At 49.6% G+C, this 21,152-nt stretch overlaps 1 protein-coding gene across 17 annotated transcripts in view, besides 1 other annotated feature; it reads right to left on the reverse strand.

Annotated features, from left to right (window-relative positions):
- TNS3 (tensin 3) overlaps positions 1-21,152 on the reverse strand; it is a 307,433-nt gene that overhangs the window by 246,822 nt on the left and 39,459 nt on the right. For 13 of the 17 annotated variants that reach the window (XM_047420733.1, XM_047420729.1, NM_001410878.1 and 10 more), the window contains one exon: positions 7,061-7,172. Coding sequence is in view for 10 of the 17 variants with exons in the window: in XM_047420729.1 (XP_047276685.1) it covers positions 7,061-7,172 (112 nt within the window). In the remaining 7 variants the exon portion in view is untranslated. Of the gene's footprint in view, positions 1-7,060; positions 7,173-15,054; positions 15,498-17,099; positions 17,270-17,523; positions 17,653-21,152 lie in introns of those variants that run through there. The other 4 variants (XM_047420726.1, NM_001410877.1, XM_011515480.4 and 1 more) reach the window with 3 other exon arrangements.
- Positions 14,800-15,673: an enhancer, noted in NCBI's record as "H3K27ac-H3K4me1 hESC enhancer chr7:47576373-47577246 (GRCh37/hg19 assembly coordinates)". NCBI's record gives its function as "activates a minimal SCP1, AML or CMV promoter by ChIP-STARR-seq in primed H9 embryonic stem cells {active_cell/tissue: H9 hESC(primed)}" and the evidence as "EXISTENCE:reporter gene assay evidence [ECO:0000049][PMID:30033119]".

The raw sequence follows: 21,152 nt of genomic DNA on the forward strand, positions 1-21,152 counted from the left end.
TGGGAGGTCTGCACGGCGATGGAGACCGGGGCCCAGCCTCCAGGAAGAAGGCCAGCAAGGGTGGAGCAGCAGGCAGGGCTGGGGGCCAAAGCCTGGCCAGGGGCTCTCCCATTCAGTGGATCTGGGTCCCAGGTATCAGCAGGGATGGGATGCCCGCCCCCCAAAAGTGGGGACACCATATCCCCCGCCTTCTCACAGGCAAGCAGGATCATAGATTTGTTGCTTGCATTAAGTTAGAAAACTAAAGCCTCTGTGCATCAGCAGCCTTTGCAGGCCTAGGGCTCTCGACGGGTGACATTCCCTGGTGTGTCTCCCTAAGGCATTTCAGATCTGCCCACCTCTGAGCCGCAAGCCTCTGCACTGGTAGTCCATCCCACCCACACCCCCAGGCCAGCCTCACAGCCTCCACGTAACTTCCGACCCCCCAGTACTCCTGCTCTGATGATGGGGGCTTATCTCAGCCGCCTCAGCCTACACCATGACACCTCCTGTCCACAGGGACCCTTGGCCTCAACAGACCATGGCACCTCAGGCTTGGGAGCATCCCTGAACACCTCCTGGTCTCTAGCACACACATTAACTTAACATAACTGAAAAAGCTAATGAAAACAATCATGTCTAAAAGACTTCTGAAACATGGAATCCTGTATGTTTTTTATAAAGAGTTTCTAGGCCGGGCACGGTGGCTCACGCCTGTAATCCCAGCACTTTGAGAGGCCAAAGCAGGCGGATCATGAGGTCAGGAGATCGAGACCATCCTGGCTAACATGGTGAAACCCCGTTTCTACTAAAAATACAAAAAATTAGCCGGGTGTGGTGGCGGGCGCCTGTAGTCCCAGCTACTCGGGAGGCTGAGGCGGGAGAATGGCGTGAACCTGGGAGGCAGAGCTTGCTGTGAGCTGAGATCGCGCCAATGCACTCCAGCCTGGGTGACAGAGCGAGACTCCATCTCAAAAAAAAAAAGAGTTTCTATTGTTTATTAACATAATTCCTAGAGCTATGTGCATAAAAACATGATGTCTCCTCCAGTTTGGGCTACTGTTTAAAAATTACCCTAAACTAGGTGGCTTATAAACAGTTGCTTATTTCTCACAGCTCTGGAGGCTGCAAGTCCAAGGTCAAGGCACCACAGATGTGGTGTCTGGGGAAGACCCACTTCCTGGTTCATAGATGGTGCCTCCTTACTGCATCCTCACATAGCCAAAGGTGTGAGGGAGCTTTCTAGGGTCCCTTTCATAAGGGCCCTAATCCCACCCATGAGGCTCCACTCACAAAACATATCACCTCCCCAAGGCCCCATCTCCTAATGCCACCATCCCATGGAGGGTTAGAATGTCAACATAAGAATTTTGGGGAGACACAAACATTCTGACCATAACACAGGGCACACGTGAGGCAGTTCCAAAAAACTATGCCACAGAAAGAAGAAGACAGACACTTCTCCAACAGAAGTCCTCAAGATCTCAGTGCACATATGCCCAAGGGCACAACACTCACCACATGCTAAAGTCAACAGCGCCAGAAACCAGAGGTGGGCCCGTCCCTTGAGTCAGAATGCCTCTGCCTCCAACGGTGCCCATGGCTGCTGTTTCCTCCCAATGCCTCCACCAAGTGCCTTGAGTGGGGGTCCCTCCTCGGGGATGGAGCCTGCAAGTGCTCCCTGAAGGGCGGTGGCCCTCCTTCCTCCAGAAGGCAAAGGTTTTCCTTCATCTGGGCCAGTTCCTGGTTCCTTCTCCTGATAATGGACCTCCTGCCATGAACTCAACAGGACATGCAGCTTCCCAAGCCTACCACATCCTCAGCTTCTGCCAGTTCTCTCTGCAAAAAGCAGCTGTGTGCTTGCCACCACCCACCACAAAGAAAGGACCCAGGGACCATGGGGACAGACCCTACTGAAGCCCACCAGGCCAGAGGGCTCAAGGCAGAAGAGCTTCACCATATGGGACTGCTAAGAGGAGAGCAAGGAGTGAGGGAGGAATTCAGACACAGACACACAAGAACACACATGCATGCACTGCAGGCACCCAGGCTGGAAAGGTGAACGCAACTCACCACACCACCCCCAGGATTCACAGCCAGCAAGCTCAGGGCAACTCTTTGGGGAGAAGCTGAACCAGCGCCCTCTGAGAGGCGGCACATCCAGGGTGCAGTGCAGCACTGCCTGCCAGCACGAAGCAGCCGTCCCCTGGGGAGGCGGTGGTCCCGTCCTGCCTCACTGGCCTGGCAGACCAGGCCCTTTCACGTACACCCCTCCCCGAGTCCCAGCTCTGCACCACTGGATCTGCATTTTCATGCCCATTTTAGGGTTGAGAAAATGGGCTTCATAAAAGCCTACTGTCCAAAACTGCCCAGGGTGTGAGTGGCACAGCCAGAACTTGACCCCACATCCTGATCTCTTTCTACTGCCTCTAGACAAGACATCCCATCCTAGCTGAGGCGCCCAGAGCCACGAACAGGGACACAGCAGGAGCAGGTGCCTGTGTGTCCATAATGCCTGCATCCTGGCTGCCCCTGGAAAGGAACCAGCTTAAAAAAGGCAATGGGAGGCCGGGCGCGGTGGCTCACGCCTGTAATCCCAGCACTTTGGGAGGCCGAGGCGGGTGGATCATGAGGTCAGGAGATCGAGACCATCCTGGCTAACAAGGTGAAACCCCGTCTCTACTAAAAATACAAAAAATTAGCCGGGCGCGGTGGCGGGCGCCTGTAGTCCCAGCTACTCGGGAGGCTGAGGCAGGAGAATGGCGTGAACCCGGGAGGCGGAGCTTGCAGTGAGCCGAGATCGCGCCACTGCAGTCCGCAGTCCGGCCTGGGCGACAGAGCGAGACTCCGTCTCAAGAAAAAAAAAAAAAAAAAAAAAAAAAGGCAATGGGAGCAGCCATGCATCCCTGCGGTGGAAAGTAAGCTGTAGGGGAGGAGGAGGTAAAGAAGAAAGGGATAAACCAGGCGTGAGAAGAGGGGTGAAGTCACCTAACATCATAGCTGTCCATGAGTGATTTTCTTCAAGGGATGAAAAAAGGTACATGGCTGTTTTTTCCCTTGTTACCTCCACTGACCAAAAATCTATTTCACCAGTGAGAAAAACCAGTGCTACACTGGGTTCCCTGGAGTAGAGGAGCATTAGCCAAACAGGACAGGAGATAATGCTGCACGAGGACAGAGCTGGCAGCCCCGCTGCTTGTCCATGTTGGGTACGTGTGGGGTCCTCCAGGCCAAAGTGGGCCTTGAATCCTCGGAGGTGACGCTCTAGGTGTCTCGCTGCCTCCCACCGAAGCAGAACTCCAGAGAGTTCCAAGAGGAGGCGGGAAAGCATCATTACCAACAGAAACCAGTAGATGGGCCACGGGGCCACCACACTGGGCTTTGTTCTCGTGAGTGCCTGGATGTTGCCAGAAGCGTGTGAAATTTAAACCATTATCTGGAGACAGCATGCCTTACTGCATCTTCCTTAACAACCAGGTGACACACAGCAAGATAAGCCTGTTGAACATCTTGTCCAGATAGGGCACTATTTATTCCCTCTCTTCTCTTTCAAGAACAAAAGCTGCTCCTGTGTGCATGCACATTTTCTCTGTTTCTATCTCCCTCAAGATAAGATAATGGACGTCATAGAGCAGCTGAACTCTACAAAGTGGTCTGAACAGGAGGGATGCTCTCACATGTTCCCTCACAATGTGGAATATCTGTGCGCTCAAGCAAATGCATTCACTCAGACGCATGCACGCATGCACACACATGCAATCACAGGTGTGTGCACTGCTTGTCCTCATATGCATGAACTCAATCATGCATGCATGCACTGCACACATAGCCATGCATATGTGCACCCACACACTCAGGCACATACACACCACTCTGGCAGGCCTCCTCACCCCTCCGTAATATTTCACACGCCACATATTTAAAATACCACAAAACAGAGTTCATTTGGAACCAGAGGATCAATCTGGGGTCCTTCCCTGGCCCTTCTGAGTGTGTGCAACTGCAGGACAGAGGAAGAGACACAAGTCCCAACCCAGGGAAGGCACCAAGACAATGATCCTCCAGATAAAGAAAGAAGACAGGCTCCCCGCCGTCCAAGACGTGCTTGCGCGTTTCACAGCTGGAGGCCGTGCTTTCTCCAAGCTCTTCTCTTTCGTTGGTTCCATTTACTCTGAAAATAGTCAATACTACTTAAATGGCAGGAACAGAATACTGAAGTATTAAAAAGGATGTCTGAGATGACTCTTCAGTAAACTCAGTTCTCTTTTATACAAAGAAGGAAAAATTACTCCTCAAGCAGTATAACCAACCTAGTGCAGCCCAAGCCACTGTGGTAAGTTGTGCAAAAGGCCTCTGTGTCTAAGGAGCTCCCCCACTGGATTACAGCTCAAGGATGTGTGGTGCAGAGGCTAACCAAACACACATGCGGCATCAGCCATGTGGAGCTACCCACAGTGGGTTCCCTTCAGAGCAATCCTAACACCAGCAACAAACCTAAGTACCACAACGCTGGCTGTGCACTTTAAGCCTGACTTCTGCCCTTGGAACAGCCCTTACCCTAAGTCCTAGACCCAGAGTGAGGAGACTTTGCCCCTGTCAGGGGCAGGGCCAGGACCCAGCTCTGTCTGACCTCCACCTTTGCTCCTAAATCAGACCTGTCCCCACATAGCATCTGACAGGCAGAAGTCAGTTCATGGGGAACCTTCGGCTGTGCAACTTTGCCTGGGACGTCATCACAGGGTAAGGAAGCCGAGAACAAGCCCAGGTGTCCCTGCTGATGCCATGCTGCTCATGACAGCTCTCCCAGTATCGCCCAATGGCTCCGCTGGCACAGGACCAGGGCTCTCGGATCAACACCAGGCCCTGACAGCTCTGATTCCCAGGTTCTCTGTGCTGCTGGTTTCATGGTTCCAATTCAACCACGACTTTCCTTTTCCTTCTTTTCACACTTGGGAGTCAAAGTTAGAGACCAAAATTTTAAAATATGAGCATTTCTGGCCGGGCGTGGTGGCTCACGCCTGTAATCCCAGCACTTTGGGAGGCCGAGGCAGGCGGATCACAAGTTCAGGAGATGGAGACCATCCTGGCTAACATGGTGAAACCCCATCTCTATTAAAAATACAAAAAAAAAAATTAGCCGGGCATGGTGGCGGGCGCCTGTAGTCCCAGCTGCTGGGGAGGCTGAGGCAGGAGAATGGCGTGAACCTGGGAGGCAGAGCTTGCAGTGAGCCGAGATCGCGCCACTGCACTGCAGCCTGGGTGACAGAGCAAGACTCTATCTCAAAAATAAATTAATAAATAAATAAAATAAAATATGAGCATTTCTATGAGAATGACATTCAAAGATGGGGAGACTCCTTGGGCTTCTATTTTTGCCATGTTCCTGGAAAGGCACAAAGCCCCTACTGGACCCTGTAGGGTATGTGGGACACAGAGGGGCTGCTGTATTTGCCCACAGACATTTTAGAGCAAGCTTGATGGAGGACGCCTGTCCGAGAGCATCAGTGCAATTTCTCATCACCTTACACCTGCAGGCCCCAAACACAAAGGGCCACCACATTTGGCTGACATGGCCCTCCTGAACTGGACAAGCTATGCAGGGGAATGGCCAGTGACAGGCCACAGCATTCACAGATGACCAAGATATCACCTAGTGCAGTGCCGTTTGCAAGTATGGGCTTAAAACAATGGCTCAAACCTGTAATCCCAGCACTTTGGGAGGCTAAGGCAGGAGAATCACTTGAGGCCAAGAGTTTAAGAGCAGCCTGGACAACATAATGAGACTGTCTCTAAAAAAGTAAGAAAATTAGCTAGGCATGTGGCGCATGCCTATAGTCCAGCTACTGGAGTGGCTGAGGTGGGAGGATGGCTTGGGCCAGGAGGTCAAGGCTGCAGTGAGCCCTGATCATCCCACTGCACTCCTACCTGGATGACAGAGCGAGACCCTGTCTCCAAAAAAAAAAAAAAAAGTTTTGAATCACAGGATGTCCTATCAGTTGGCTCAGAGTACACTACAGCCCGTGTTCTCTGCCTTGGATGCAGATCTAGATGAATTACACAGGTGGCTCCCTGGTCTCTGGCTTCTACTTAGCGACCAGGGTGGCCGGTACCCACCACTCATCCAACACATTCTTCAGCACTGACTTCTCCAAGGGGCCGAATCAGAGGAGGGGCACCCCAGTCTTCTCACCCACACTCAGGCCTTTGAACTGTAAAAGAATCCCAAGAGCCCCTTAGAGGCCCCTGGTCACATCCTCAACCCATTAAGGTTTGACTGCGTGCATCGTTCCATCACAGGCACCCTACTCTAAAGTGGCCATCAGGGACCATCTGCTGGGGGTCTGCAGGGAAGGAGGCACTGAGGGGGAGGTCCTAACAGCACAGAAGCCCACAGGCTGAGACTCTGCACATTTTCTAGAGGAAATCCCCAACCCCGCAGATGAAATGATGCCAAAGAGCAGCCCCCGCACTCTCCAAGGACCTGGTCCTCCTAGTGACTCCCTCTGTGTGGTGTACCCCACTGGTCCGCCAAGCAGCCCCTGCCCCCCACCACTCCCACATTCATTACAGTCACACCTCTCTTACTAGATTTATTAATGTGCAGTCACAAAAGAATTGGCAAGTTCCATTCATTACTTGACGTCTAAATATCTGGTACCCAAGCTGGTGGCTTAGTTTAGTGACAGGATCTGAAAGGGGCCATACCAAAATGAACCCGAAATCTAAAGATAGAAACATTTCATTCGCAAACTTGAGTAACAGATCTGAAAGTCAAACTAAACAACCTGAGTTACTGACACTTCAGAGCAGACCTGAGAATAAATGATTAATTTACAAATTGCTGCCTCCTCTCCCATCGGGAAACTCTGCTCTTTCTGTAAAAATGTCCTCATGAGCACTTATCTATGTAAATACGGTTGGCCCCTGCTAAGTAAGGGGGTAGGGGGTTGGGGGACATATAAACTAAGAAGGGGAATTCCATGATTTAACTTTCGGAAACTCCTGAAAAAAAGTTTTCGTTTTGTTTCTTGTTTGTTTTGCTCTGGATTAATCAGTGAGAGAATCATAAACACAGACTTACCTCGGCATGAAATACCTTGACCGTCAATAATTTGTTTGCAAACTCCACACACTTTGGATTTTTTAAAGGCCTTGTTCTTAAAAGCGTGCAGACTCGAGGTTAATTCTTCCGGCTGAAAAAGTAAAGGAAGAAATTGTCAACGTTTCATCTCATAGTTTGTTTCTTTTTCCTTTTCATTTAAGGGAAATAATAAATCTAGTGGAATTGTAAAGAGCAAAAACAGGAATTTTACCAAGCAAACAGAGAACAAGAAACCATCTTGGTGATGCTAAAATTCCCAAGACGACCCACGGATACCATGTTAGCATTCCCAATTCCAGAGTCCTAGACGGACGTTCACTCTCACCCAACTCATCAATCACCACATGGGGTGCCTAGAAACATTACATCAACCAACATCATTATGTGAAAATGCACTCCCTTCCAGACTTCAGCCGTAGAGCCACCTACTTCTGTGACAAAGTAATCCACATACACTTCTAGACTCTCAACCCTTTTTCTTCTGGAAAAAGTAATTAGCTAAACAGCATAATTATGTTATGAGGAAGTCAACTGGCTTTCCTGGTTCAAAGGTGTTCCAGAATCACCATTAAGCTCTTGAGCCTCTCTGAGCTCTCCTGCAGAAGAAGAGACAGTCCAGCCTGTGATACACATGTGGTTCTTCCTCAAACACAATTACAAGCATTAGCACTTGGAAAAACTAACCACTCAGCTACCTATTCATGTTTGTAGAGCCAAGGCTCTCAGCTATATGATAACCTTATAAGAATTCAATTTGCTTTTAGAGTCAAGCACTAATCATGTCTATTTGCTGATATGTGACCGTGTATTCTATCAGTACTTAATATCCATATGGATTCAGTGAGGCCATTACTCACCCACTGGAATAATTAAATTTATTTGAAAAGATGAAATGGTATTTAGAATGTGGAATAAATGGTACAACTACTTTAGAAAATGGTTTGACAATTTCTTATAAACTTAAACATACACCTAACCTATGACTCAGCAATTCCATTCTTATTTACACTAAAGAGAAATAAAAGCCTATGTCCACAAGAGAAAGAAAGGTCATAACAGCTTTATATAACCCAAATGTCCATCATAATAACTATTCTATATGCTAGAAAGTTAAGTAGAGATCTGAAAAACATAAAAAGATCCAAATCAAACATTCATTGAGGAAAATGTAAGAATACAGTGCAAGATACACTGGATGCGATTACTGGCAGATTAGATCCTGCAGAAGCACAGGTGAATGAACTTGAAGACATCACAGTACGAACCTCCCAACGCAAAGCACACAGAGATGAGACAACCTAAATAAACAAATAAACAAGCATCAGTAAGCTGTGGGAGAACTTTAACCAACATAACATATGTGTAATGGAGACTGACGGAGAAGGGCAGGGAAGGGGGGATATTTGAAAAAATAATGGCTGAAACTTTTTCAAACCAGGAGGAAAACTATAAACCCACAGATCCAAGAAACTCAAGAAATTTCTTGGCCAGGCTCGGTGGCTCACACCTGTAATCCGAGCACTTTGGGAGGCAGAGGCGGGTGGATCACCTGAGGTCAGGAGTTCCAGACCAGCCTGGCCAACACGGTGAAACCCCGTGTCTACTAAAAATACAAAAAATTAGCCGGGCATGGTGGTGGTGCCTGTAATCCCAGCTACTCGGGAGGCTAAGGCAGGAAATCGCTTGAACCCAGGAGGTGGAGGTTGCAGTGAGCCGAGATCGCGCCATTGCACTCCAGCCTGGGCAACAAGAGTGAAACTCCATCTCAAAAAAAAAAAAAAAATATATATATATATATATATTTCTAGCACAAGAAATGTGACAGGAACTACCCCAAGGCATACAATAATCAAATTGCTTAAACCCAGTAACAAAGAGAAAGATCTTAAAAACAACCACGGGGCCAAAAGACACATTACATGCAGGGAACCAACCAATAGGATAACAGGTTTCTCATTGTTTTAAAAAATATAAGTGAGAAGACAGCAGTATAATAGGAAATACTGAAAGATGGACACAAAGAAGGGAACAGACACCAGGGCCTACTTGAGGGTGGAGGGTGGAAGGAGGGTGAAGATTGAAAAACTACCTATCGAGTACTACGCTTATTACCTGGAGGAGGAAATAATCTGTACACCAAACCCCCACAACACACAATTTACCTATATAATAAACCTGCACATGTACCCTGAATCTAAAAGTTAAAAAAATAAACAAAATAGAATAAAACAAAATACTGAAAGAAAACTTGTCAATCTAGAATCCTGTACCCAATAAAAATAGCTCTTCAAAATAAAAGTGAACCAAAAACTTCTTAAAATATGCAAAAAAAGATATACAATTAAAGCCCAAAAAAAATCATCACCAGCTGACACCTATGACATATTAAAGACAGTGCTTGGGCAAAAAGGACATGGCAGATGGAATTATGGCTTTACACCAACAGATGAAGAGCACCAGAAATGCTAATTACACAGGTAAATTTATGAGTTTTTCTTATTATTTAAAGCTCACCAAAAGATAATTAACTGTTTAAACAATAGTGTAATGTGACATGTGACATATGTAAAAGTAAATTTTCTGAAAAAATAGCACAAAGTTCAGGAAAGAAGAAAAGGAAATATACTATTGATGACAGCGGTTGCTACCATCACGCTGGCTGCAGCAGGGAGGTGAGGCTGGGGCTGCACTCTCCATGGAGCCGGTGGGAGCTCCACCCCTTCTGAGTTGGGGTGGGAACTCCCTGGGTGCCACTGCAGCTGCCCAAACTGCAGCTGTAGATCCAAGCCTCCCTGCGCTCTTGAGTGGGGCCAGGAGCAGGCAGGATCTGCCCCCCGGGGTGCAGCTGCAGCCACCATCCACGGCTGCAGACCTGGGCCTCCCACTCCACCACACAGGCGGGAGCTGGGGAAAAGCAGGAGCTCCCTGAGTGCAGGCAGCTGCAGCCACCCTCCCAGGCACAGCACCCAGGCATCTCTGCGGCCTGCACCCTCGGGCGCATGGGAAGCCCCCCCCCGCCCACCATCCCTGCTGGCTCAGGAGTGTCTATTCTGGCTGCCTGGCCTGTCTCCTCTCCCGGCCCCCCACCTCTCATCTCAGAGCGGGATTGGGGACAAGTACCAGGGCCTTGAATGGCAGCGGTAGGCAAAGTCCTGGGCAGAAGGGGGTGGGTCCTCAGTAAGGCCCCACCTTCAGGCCAGGGAGGGCCTGTAGGCTGGGGACGGGCTGCCAGTCCCACAGACTGGAGTGGGGACTCATGGTGCCTCTTCCAGCCAGCCCATGGCCGCCCATGGACCAATCAGCAGGCACTTCCTCCCCTCCAAGGGCTTTTCCATGTTCAGCCAGAGCAAGAGAGAGGACAGAGAGAATGGAGAGACCACAAGAGACCAGCTGCACAGAGGAGCTACCCTCTCTGCCGAGAGCTTCAGAGACCTGCAGAGATGTTGGGACTTCCAGCTGCAGAGAGGAACTACCCTCTCCAGGGCCTCCTCTCTGCTGAGAGCAGCAGAGGTCGGGATGACCTGCCTACAGAGAGGACACTGTGGGTCTCCTCTGAGCTGTTTAACACTTAATAAAGCTTATCTTCATCTTCTTCACCCTTCCCCGTCTGCCTATCTCATTCTTCCTGGACACAGGACAAGAACTCAGGCAAAGGTGCCACTGGCCACAGAGGTTTCCAGCCAGAAATTGGACACCCCAAAGATCCCATAAGACTATTATAAGGCTCTCATAGTATTCATGAAGTGGATATAATATCACTTGAAGGTAGCCTGTGATGTTACAGAGGTATAGTATAAACCCTAGAGCAACCACTAAAATCATGAATTATAGGTAATAAGCAAACAAGAGAGATAAAATGAAATAATAAAAATTATTCAATTAATCTAAATGGCAAAAGGAAGTAAAACAAAGGCAGAACAAACAATAGGTAGGAGAAATAGAAAACAAGTAGCAGTATGACAGATTCAAACCTTGCCATATTAATAATCATATTTATGTAAATAGTCTAAGTATCTCAATTATAAGTCAACAAAAGTTGTCAGATTTTATATATATATATATATATATTTTTTTTTTTTTTTTTTTTTTTTTTTGAGACAGAGTCTCGCTCTGTCGCCCACACTGGAGTACAGTGGCGCAATCTTGGCTCACTGCAACTTCTGCCTCCCAAGTTCAAGCAATTCTCTGCCTCAGCCTCCCAAGTAGCTGGGATTACAGGCACCCGCCACCATGCCTGGCTAATTTTTGTATTTTTAGTAGAGACAGGGTTTCACCATGTTGGTCAGGCTGGTCTCGAACTCCTGACCTCGTGATCCATCCGCCTTGGCCTCCCAAAGCGCTGGGATTACAGGTGTGAGCCACCGCACCTGGCCTTTTTTTTTTTTTAAAAGACAAAGGCTAGAAAAAAGAGGTACCTTGCTGATGTTAATCAAAGGGAAGTTGGAGTGGCTATATCAGACAAAGTAGGCTACAGATCAAAGAACATTACCAAGGATATAGAAAGTCCTCTCATAATAATAAAAGGATTGATTCATCAAGAACACCTAACAGTCCTAAACATTTAATCACTGATATGGCTTGACTGTGTCCCCGCCCAAATCTCATCTTGAATTCCCATGTGTTGTGAGAGGGACCCAGTGGGAGGTAACTGAATCATGGCGGCAGGTCTTTCCTGTGCTGTTCTCATGATAATGAATAATTATCATGAGATCTGATGGTTTTATAAGGGGGAGTTCCTCTGCACAAGCTCTCTCTCTTTGCCTGCTGCCATGTGAGATGTGCCTTTCACCTTTCGAAATGATTGTGAGGCCTCCCCAGCACGTGGAACTGTGAGTCCATTAAATCCTTTTTCCTGTATAAATTGCCCAGTCTTGGGTATGTCTTCATCAGCAGCATGAAAATGGACTAATACAATCACCTAATAAAGAACTTCATGGCCAAGCGCGGTGGCTCATGCCTGTAATCCCAGCATTTTGGGACGCCGAGGCGGGTTGATCACCTGAGCTCAGGAGTTCAAGACCAGCCTGGCCAACATGGTGAAACCCCGTCTCTACTAAAAATATAAAAATTAGCTGGGCGTGGTGGCGGGCACCCGTAATCCCAGCTACTCAGGAGGCTGAGGGAGGAGAATCCCTTGAACCCAGGAGTCAGAGGCTGCAGTAGGCCGAGATCATGGCACGGCACTCCAGCCTGGGTTGACAGAGTGAGACTCCATCTCAAAAAAAAGAAAAAATAAATAAAGTAGGGGAAAGAGTCCTGAACCAAGCAGAAGCCTTCACATAAGTTCTGATACCTACACTACAAGCTCTGTGGCCCAGGACAAGTCACAACCTCTCTTAAATAGAAAAGATATCCTCCCCCTCCTGTCTCTTAACAGCTATTGTAAATGACCAAACGCTGTATCATCTGTCAGTTCATAGGAATCACTGGGGCAGTTTTTAAAACAGCTGACCCAGGCTCCACCCCAGACCAATTAAATCAGATTACCTGGAGGTTGAATCAGAACACTGGAATGTTGTCAAACCCCCCACCCCAGCTCCATCCCGTGATTCTAATTTGCGGCCAAGACAGAACCACCACTGTATATAACCGACTATACTGTAAGTATCTATATACATTTAAGGTACTGTTATTATGTAGTTGTTCCTATGTCGGTATCTGGTTTTTTCAAAGAGATTGCATCCTTTCTGATAACACAGGTTGTGTGTTCAGTGCTCTGCAAAAGAAGGATAATGATGCTGCTAATTATGCAGTTGGTAACACTAGCTAAGTGCTTCTGTGTCATTACCGTAATCACCACTAGTCTACAAACCGTGATGGTGAGATGCAAAACCGAGATGCAGCACCACACAGCCAATGGATGAGGCATATGAGACTCAGGCCTCATATGCCTCAAGCCCCAGTCTCACGCTCAGACAAGAGTAGCATTCAAACACCTAACAAACACATCTCTCTATTGCAATGCAGCAGCTGGTACGTACTTTTCACTCGTATTGCAGTTATTTGTTTATATGCCTTCTCTCCTGTGCTATATTGCAATTTCCTAGATGCAGGACACCAGGCTCTTTCCCCTTTGTCCTCTTAGGGCCCTGCCCAGCGCCTGGCAGACAGTGGACCATGGACCCTCAATTAATATTTGTTGACCAAATGAATTAGCCACAGTCTGTGGGCCAAGGAAAGATACTGTGACCTTTCATTCCTCACAAATACCTTTATTCCAACCAGGGAGAAAGAGGCACTGTTTTCCTGCAGCTTTCTTGCCCACTGGTCCACAGCTAGAAAACTTAAAGAGGGAAACAGCATAAGCACTGTTGCGAGGGCTCAGCCATTTGAATTGCTGGATCTCTGAGGAGTTCATTTAGGATAGTGTAATAACATCTGCTCACGCTTCATCTGTACATAACATCTCTATTGTGAAATGAGACCAGACGGGATTAGACTGCCCTTGTTTTCACCTGATACTGTGCTTTCATTTCTCCCAAAGGGGGAGAGGAGGCAGCAATGCTGAAGCATTTAGCAGGCTCAGTTCAGGAATCTAAATTGCACTTAATTGTTAGGAACAAAATGTTGGAAGGGTAGAGAGCAGGCTGCTGGTTCCACAAGGACTCCCTGAGGGGGACACAGTAATTAGTGCTGGTCTTGATTGTGAGGTCTCTTTTGAGAAAGAAAAATCTCTGCAAAATTGAACAGGGAGGTGCTCCACATGAATGCTCCACTCTGCCGAAATGCAAAACCGCAGGGATCTCTCGGATAGGTTCTCCCGGCTAAAGGTCGCCCTGGCAAAATGGTTACACACGCAAAAGTGCAAAGCTGCATCAGCACAATCCCAGCTATGTTTTCCTTTCAGGAAATATTCAGCTCCACCATAGTAAGAGGATTTAGGTAGGCATTCAGGCACCTGGGAAACCTTCAGAGGCATTCTGGAGAGGCAGACACTGATCAAAAACACATTCCCAGCCCAACTTTACTCTGATGTTAAACAGCCAGGAACACTTCCGGGCCTCGGGGATATTTCCCAGCCCACAGGGGGCCGGTATCTGGGGCAAGAGGGACACCCTCCACATCCAACACATATTGTTCCCACACTTCCAGGCAGCAGCGTTTGACCACTAAACTTTAAAAGGGAACGCAGTACACCTCAAGTTAACCAGCTGAAATTTTGACAGTTTTTCACCCCACAGAACCTTACAAAAGCTTCAGAAAAACAAATGCAATAACTTAGGGAAAGGGAGGCTGAACCTAGCGGGGAGCCAACCAGCACCGCTCTGTTTAATTCAGCAATAACTTAGGGAAAGGGAGGCTGAACCTAGCGGGGAGCCAACCAGCACCGCTCTGTTTAATTCAAACACCGTGAAAGGCCGTCCTGTGGACCACAGAGCACCGCTGGAACCCATGCGGTCCCCAGGGAACCTGTAAGGATTCCTACATCCCAGCGCATCCCCCACTTCATTGCAGAGCTAAAATGCCCTTTACCTTTGCAAGAAACACGCGAGGGATAGCAGGTCTGCGCAATGGCCAGTATCCCAATTCCATTGCAGGGAAATGAACCCAAGAAGCCTTTTCAAGAGGCAGTTGAGTTAGAAAGAGCTAAGCCTGAACCCTCTTCCACGCTTACCAGAAGACGCCCCCACTAGGCAAAGCTCCACTGGCCCTCTCGCTCCTTGTCCTGCGCGTGCACACACAAGGGTACACACGCACCCACGAGGACTCAGGCACGGACCAGCGTACACATGCCTGCACACACAGACGCGCGCTCACAAGCACACACGCGTGGACGTGCAGACGGGGTGCACACACACTGACATACGCGCACTGACAAGGGCACACGCATACACATGAGCACAAGCGGGTACACACCAGCACAGCGTCCACGGGCACCAGTGCACACCCGGCGCAGCCCACGTGCGTGCAGCCCTGAAGGCGCCCGTGCCTCGCGCCCCTGGCCATGCACACCAGCTCCGGGCCGCACTCACCTGGCGCCGGCGCCGGCGCGACCGGGTTCCGCGCGCGAACCCTCCCGGTGGCCCAGGGGTCAGGGCGCGCAGCCTCATGGCTGCCCCTGCCGCCCGCGGGGAGCCGGGCTCGGCCGGGCGAGGGTGGCCGCTGACCCCTCCCCAGCGGCTATCTGGGGGGAGGATGCCTCCCGAGTCCCCTGCGGACACAAGTCCCAGGAAATGGCCAACACGGGAGGGGCCAAGGGCTCTCCGTGGCCGCCGGCCCAGGTCCCAGCCGCGCGCCGCAGCCTCCACGGCCACTCCTGCCCGTCAGAAGTCAGACGCCGGGAACAAAAGCCAGGCGCGAGCGCACGGTCCCGCACGGCGTCCCTCCATCTGACACGAATTAGCCCTCCCTCCCCCGCCCGCCCCAACCGCAGCTCCGAGCGAGCGCGGAGGCACAGGCTGAGCCGCCAAACACTGGGAAAGTGGGTGAGGAAACGCCTTCCAGGCGGGGGGAGCAGGATCTTGCAGCCGCCATCTGATTGGAATTACCGACGCGCCGCGCTTGGCGCAGGGTTCAGCTTTACTAGGATTTCAAACCTCTCCGAGAACGCTGGCGAGGTGCTTAAAAGAATCAAAACCGGGCAAGCTCTGGCTTTCGGAATTTCTAAATCTTGAATATTATCCAGTCAACTCTGCATCTGTAATGAGCAGTAATCTACACTACCCTGATAATCTACACTAGCAAACAGGGCATTTGGAGTGGAAAGCAGGTAAACACCGAGGCAGAAAGGCTTTTTTTCTAATTTGCTTCTTCTACTAAAAAACTAGGAGCCTGGCCTTGCAGAGAGGGACACGCCTAACCAGGTAAGGATTTCAAGCAAATATCAAAGCACAGGACCGCCCGGGGCCTTGCACACCTGGGGGCTGGGCTGCACCTCCCTATCTCCCAGCCTATCCCTCCCTCACCGCACCCCCCCCACCCCCCGCCATCCTGCTCCTGGCAAATCAGGACAATTCACAGCACATCTGAAGTCCCGTCTTCCTTTATGGGTCTGCGATTTTAGAAGGAAATTAGAAACCCGAAGTTCAGGAGGTGAAGATGACAGGGTGATGGGAGAAGATGGACAAGCCAGGATCCTGAAGAAAGGGTCACTTAGAAACGCCAGGAGGAGAGGCGGGCAAGATCCACAGGCAGATCCCTCCTTTCAATGCCTGTCGGACTTCACCAGCCTTCCCGGGGCAGTGGATCTTGGCTGTCTGCAAGAAGCTTTGTGGCAAGTCTAAAACTAAAAGAACATGTTCAAGATGAAGCCACTGCCTGTGGTCTACGGTGGGCAGCGGAAGAGACCCCTGCCTCAGAGCAGGATAGGGGGCCTTCTAGTCTCAGGCCAGCTAACCCTGTACTCCTACCACTGGCCTTCACTCCAGGCCCAGCCTAGGAGCAGTGTCCCAGAGCTCAGCCTTTATGGCTCCAACACTCTAACTTCAGATCTACAGCTCCACTTGCAACTCCACATGCCTTGGATGTGGGGAGCAGTCTGGGTGGGCTAAGTCGTGGCCTTTATGGCTGACATATGTGCAAATTCCAGCCATCAATTCAACTGGCTGACGTTAACCTCTCAAGTTCTGGCACTAAATATCCATCTTTCTGTTTCTGCAGTAGAAGAGCAAAGCTGCTCTTCAACTTTTAACTACAAAGGAAAAAACCTCCTCCTAGAACACACCATTCTGGGTTCCAATTCCTCACTAAATCATCACCTGGCAGACAAGCAGGCATTCTCATTTCCCCCTGTCCTTCAAATGACACCATTATTCACCTTTTTCTATATTCATTCCTTCATTCATTTTTCTGTATACATTCATCATTTTTTTCCTATAGCATATCCAAACTTTAGTCTTTTCAAACATTTTTCCCTGAGAACACATCTGTATCGTATTCATTCCAGATTGCTTCACATCTGACACAATACCAGGTACATAGCAGTGCCTACAAACAGCTAAGAACAGGATATGCTGCTGTCATGGTTTACCCAGGGCAAACACGCCCAGAGGTCAGCTGGATCTACCACCGCCCTTACCATGGTGCCCACAGGAACCGGCCAAAGAAATCTGAATTCAGCAATGAACAGATAGCCCCCAGCAGGATAAAACTCCTCCAACCTGAGTACCAGGATTCATACTCTCTGGGGTCCACCCAGGAACAACGGCCAGGAGCACAGGCCAGCCCACTGCCTATGCAAGCCAGAGTGGAAGGCAAATGGTTGAAGGTGGCTTTTTATTGCAGGGATACCCTGAATCTGCTCTTACTTATTTAAAAGAGTAGCCATTCAGAAAACTCCCACACTTCGTTACTAGTAACAAATATCGTGCGTGTGATAAACCTCCCCAGTGAGGACAACAAACTGATTTTTCACTGGCAAGAAACAGTGCTCAATCCTAAGGCGAATCCGCATTCATCAGCAGGCCGCCTCTCCAGCCCCTCTCCCTGCCCCCGACTCTGACCTCCTCCTGCCAGGCTTGCAATCTAGGCTCTTACACTCCAGGGTCCTTCTGCTCTGCGCCCTTGGGCTCACTTGGGGCTTCTCCCAAGGCAGTTTCCCATTCTCCTTTCTGGCTGAAAACCGCTGTCCTGGGCTCAGTTGAAGATCCGCCCCCCATCTGACCTCCCAGACTGGTTAATCATCCTCCATGGCTGAGCCACTCAAGGATGGTTGGGGCCCTGACCCTCTAGTGTGGTCATAAGTCTTGTACCTCCAATAGGAAGTCCTAACCTTGTCTGGGATTTTCCACACACAGCACCAAGCAGGAGCAATAAACACTGGTGCAGGAATGAAAACATTCTCCTTTGCTGTATTTCCACCACATCAACACCGGTGTTCACTGCCTGTCTCAGACCACACCCTTCTGAGTCCTCCCAGAAGTAAGCTGTAGCTGAGGGTCTGGGGATGCGAAGGGACTCAGAAGCCAGGGCACAGACTCCTCCAGGCACAGACCCTCACCTCAAAACTTGGGTGGCAGACTGGCCTCACTCCATCTTAAAGCCACAGTGAGCTCTGTGCTGCTGCCCAGCTTCCAATTTTCTTCGTGCTTTGCCACAATCCTCTGTGCTTTTTACTCGCCAGGTTGTCTCACCCTAGCTTCTGACTGCACTTGGTTCCCAGGAACAAAACAAGGTTCTTCCCAGGAACAAAACGAGGTTCTTCCCAGGAACAAAATGAGGTTCTTCCCAGGAACAAAACAAGGTTCTTCCCAGGAACAAAATGAGGTTCTTCCCAGGAACAAAATGAGGTTCTTCCCAGGGAGGATGAATTCCAGACGGCTAAGGCAGACATCAGCAAACCAGCCATCAGGAAGAGAGGCTACATCTCAACCTGGGTTGGAAACCCAGCTGGAACTAGGGACATGAGCCCCTCCATGAGTCAGACTTTAACACCAAGTACAAGGTTCCCTGGGGGAGAGCTGAGGGGCCACTCGTGCCCGTTTTGTCACTGGAAACTGGAGGCTGCTCCTATGAGTCCATTCCCTCACACGATCATGCATTCACCCACAGATACGTGAGCAACGTGTGTGCTCGATGTCAGAGGAAATACAGCGGCTGGCTCACCCCGCCCCTCCCAGAGGGACGATCTACACGCAGTGTTAGGAGGGGGCACGGAGTCCACAGATCATGGGAAGAACTCCATGAATGGCCTGTGACTTGAAGCAGAAGCAGACACTTTCCAGACAGGAAAAGAGGTGAGGAGAGGCAAGGGTGGTAAAGCGCCGTATTTTTGGTGAACTGGCCAAAGGCTGGGTGGCTAATGCACAGCTGTGTTGGGACACTGAGGGTAGACAGGGCTCAAGAAGCAAGTACAGGGTGGTGAGCAGGATTGCACAAAGCAGTCACAAGGAAGGAGGCCCCAGTACCGAGCTGGGCTGGACTCCAACGTCACAGGGGGCTCTAACTGGCAAAAAGGAAAAAGCATCACAGGTGTATGTTCATCCTGGAGGACCCCTGGCAGTCCTGGGAGGACACTCGGGAGAAAGCAGGAGTGGACATGGAAACTCTAGGTAAGAGAACCTCAGCCTCGGGCAACAGCCCTAGAAACACAGATAAATGTACAGGGGAGAGGACGGCCATAGCAGTGGAGAGGTGACGGGAGATTGGTCATGCACAGGATGATTGAGCATAAGGATCTGTGAGAAGAAAAATGGGAGGCACCTTCGGGAGGAGCTTGCTAGTCTAGAATGGGGGACATTATAGTAAGCCCTGTGTTGGGAGACAGGAATCAGATATTGGTGTGACTCAGAGTTTCCAATCTAGAGACGTAGATACATCTAGAAATCAAAGTAGATGTGAATGTGTGTATACGAACCAGTGCACACACACACATGCACACACACACAGAGATACTCCCAGATCTGTCCTTGGAGGGTGCGGAGGCTCCAATACCAACAGTCACCCCCCAATGAGCCTGAAATCTCTTCTTTTTGGCCAGAAAGTAAGACAGTGCTCACAGAACAATGGGTTTTTTAACAAAAAGACACAGGGGCCAGCCTGAAGAGGCTCCCACCAGGCAAACTGTAAACAACTTGGAGATCAAAATAGTGATAATATTGGATTATGACCCATTGAATACAATACAAATCCAAGACTCTTTGAGTCCCTACTGATAGAAGCAAATGACCGAGGCCGGGCGCAGTGACTCACGCCTGTAATCCCAGCACTTTGTGAGGCTGAGGCGAGCGGATCACAAGGTCAGGAGATGGAGACCATCCTGGCTAACACGGTGAAACCCTGTCTCTACTAAAAATACAAAAAAATTAGCTGGGCATGGTGGCAGGCACCTGTAGTCCCAGCTACCCGGGAGGCTGAGGCAGAAGAATGGCATGATCCTGAGAGACGGAGCTTGCAGTGAGCCGAAATTGTGCCACTGCACTCCAGTGTGGGCAACAGAGCGAGACTCCATCTCAAAAAAAAAAAAGCAAATGACCACAGAGACAGTCTCAGAGAGGCAATGGGAGTCCTGGGAGCAGGTTATTAGGAAGCGTAAAGGTCTCAGCTTCCATGCGTCGTGGGATGGGAGACTCGGGAGTTATGTGCAGTGGAGAGACAGAATCTAATAGGCTGTCACTGGTTGATCTTTAGAGAGAATACATAGTCTCTAAATACTTTCCTTTATTTACTATAAAAGGGAAAAGAGTAAGTCAACAACAGAGAAAGCTTCAGTCTCCACCTAATCAAGGGGTCAAGGTGACCATGACCTTGGATGGGACAAGCCATGGTCAGCGCCACCTGTGATTCAGAGATGAGAATATGCATTACCACTGGGTGTTTCTGCAGAGAGGCATCATCTAAACCAAATCCTCACCACACCTTGGCCAGACAACCCAAGTGAGGGGTGGAGAGTCCAAATCCTTAGTCCCTCTGACGTGTGCTCACAGAGCCACTGTCCTGGCAGGATCCAGCCCTGATTCCCGATTCCTAGCCTCAGTGCTCTGAAATTGGGGCCACCAGATACTCTGGGCAGATGACTCCTAGCTCTCCTCTACCCACTACATGCCCGTCGACACGAAATCTGACATGGCCAGTCCCACTGCTCCATGGCTTGAGGGTGTCCGAGTGTGAGGGAGTTTCTATGTGCCACCTAAAGCACATTTAAAAGCACTTTACGGCCGAGCACGGTGGCTCAACCTGTAATCCCAACACTTTGGGAGGCTGAGGAGGGCAGATCACGAGGTCAGGAGTTCAAAACGAGTCTGGCCAACATAGTGAAAACCCGTCTCTACTAAAGATACAAAAAATTAGCCAGGTGTGGTGGTGGGCGCCTGTAATCCCAGCTACTTGGGAGGCTGAGGCAGGAGAATCATGTGAATCCAGGAGGCAGAGGTTGCAGTGAGCCGAGATCACGCCATTGCACTCCAACCACGGGGAACAGTGCAAGACTGTCAAAAAAAAAAAAAAAAGGCACTTTGCCTCTGATATTGAAAAAGACTGCCTTCAGTTTAAGGAATTTCTGACATCAGCAAGTTGTTGCCAGCTCTCATCTGCAGAAATTGAGCCTGGCCCTCTCTCCTTGTCCAAAGGTGGGAACACTGGTCACTGGGCAGCAGGAGGCCCAGACACTGTCTCTAGGGGCAGGTCTTGTACC

This window comes from Homo sapiens, chromosome 7, assembly GCF_000001405.40.
Source record: "Homo sapiens chromosome 7, GRCh38.p14 Primary Assembly".
Taxonomy (NCBI): domain Eukaryota; kingdom Metazoa; phylum Chordata; class Mammalia; order Primates; family Hominidae; genus Homo; species Homo sapiens.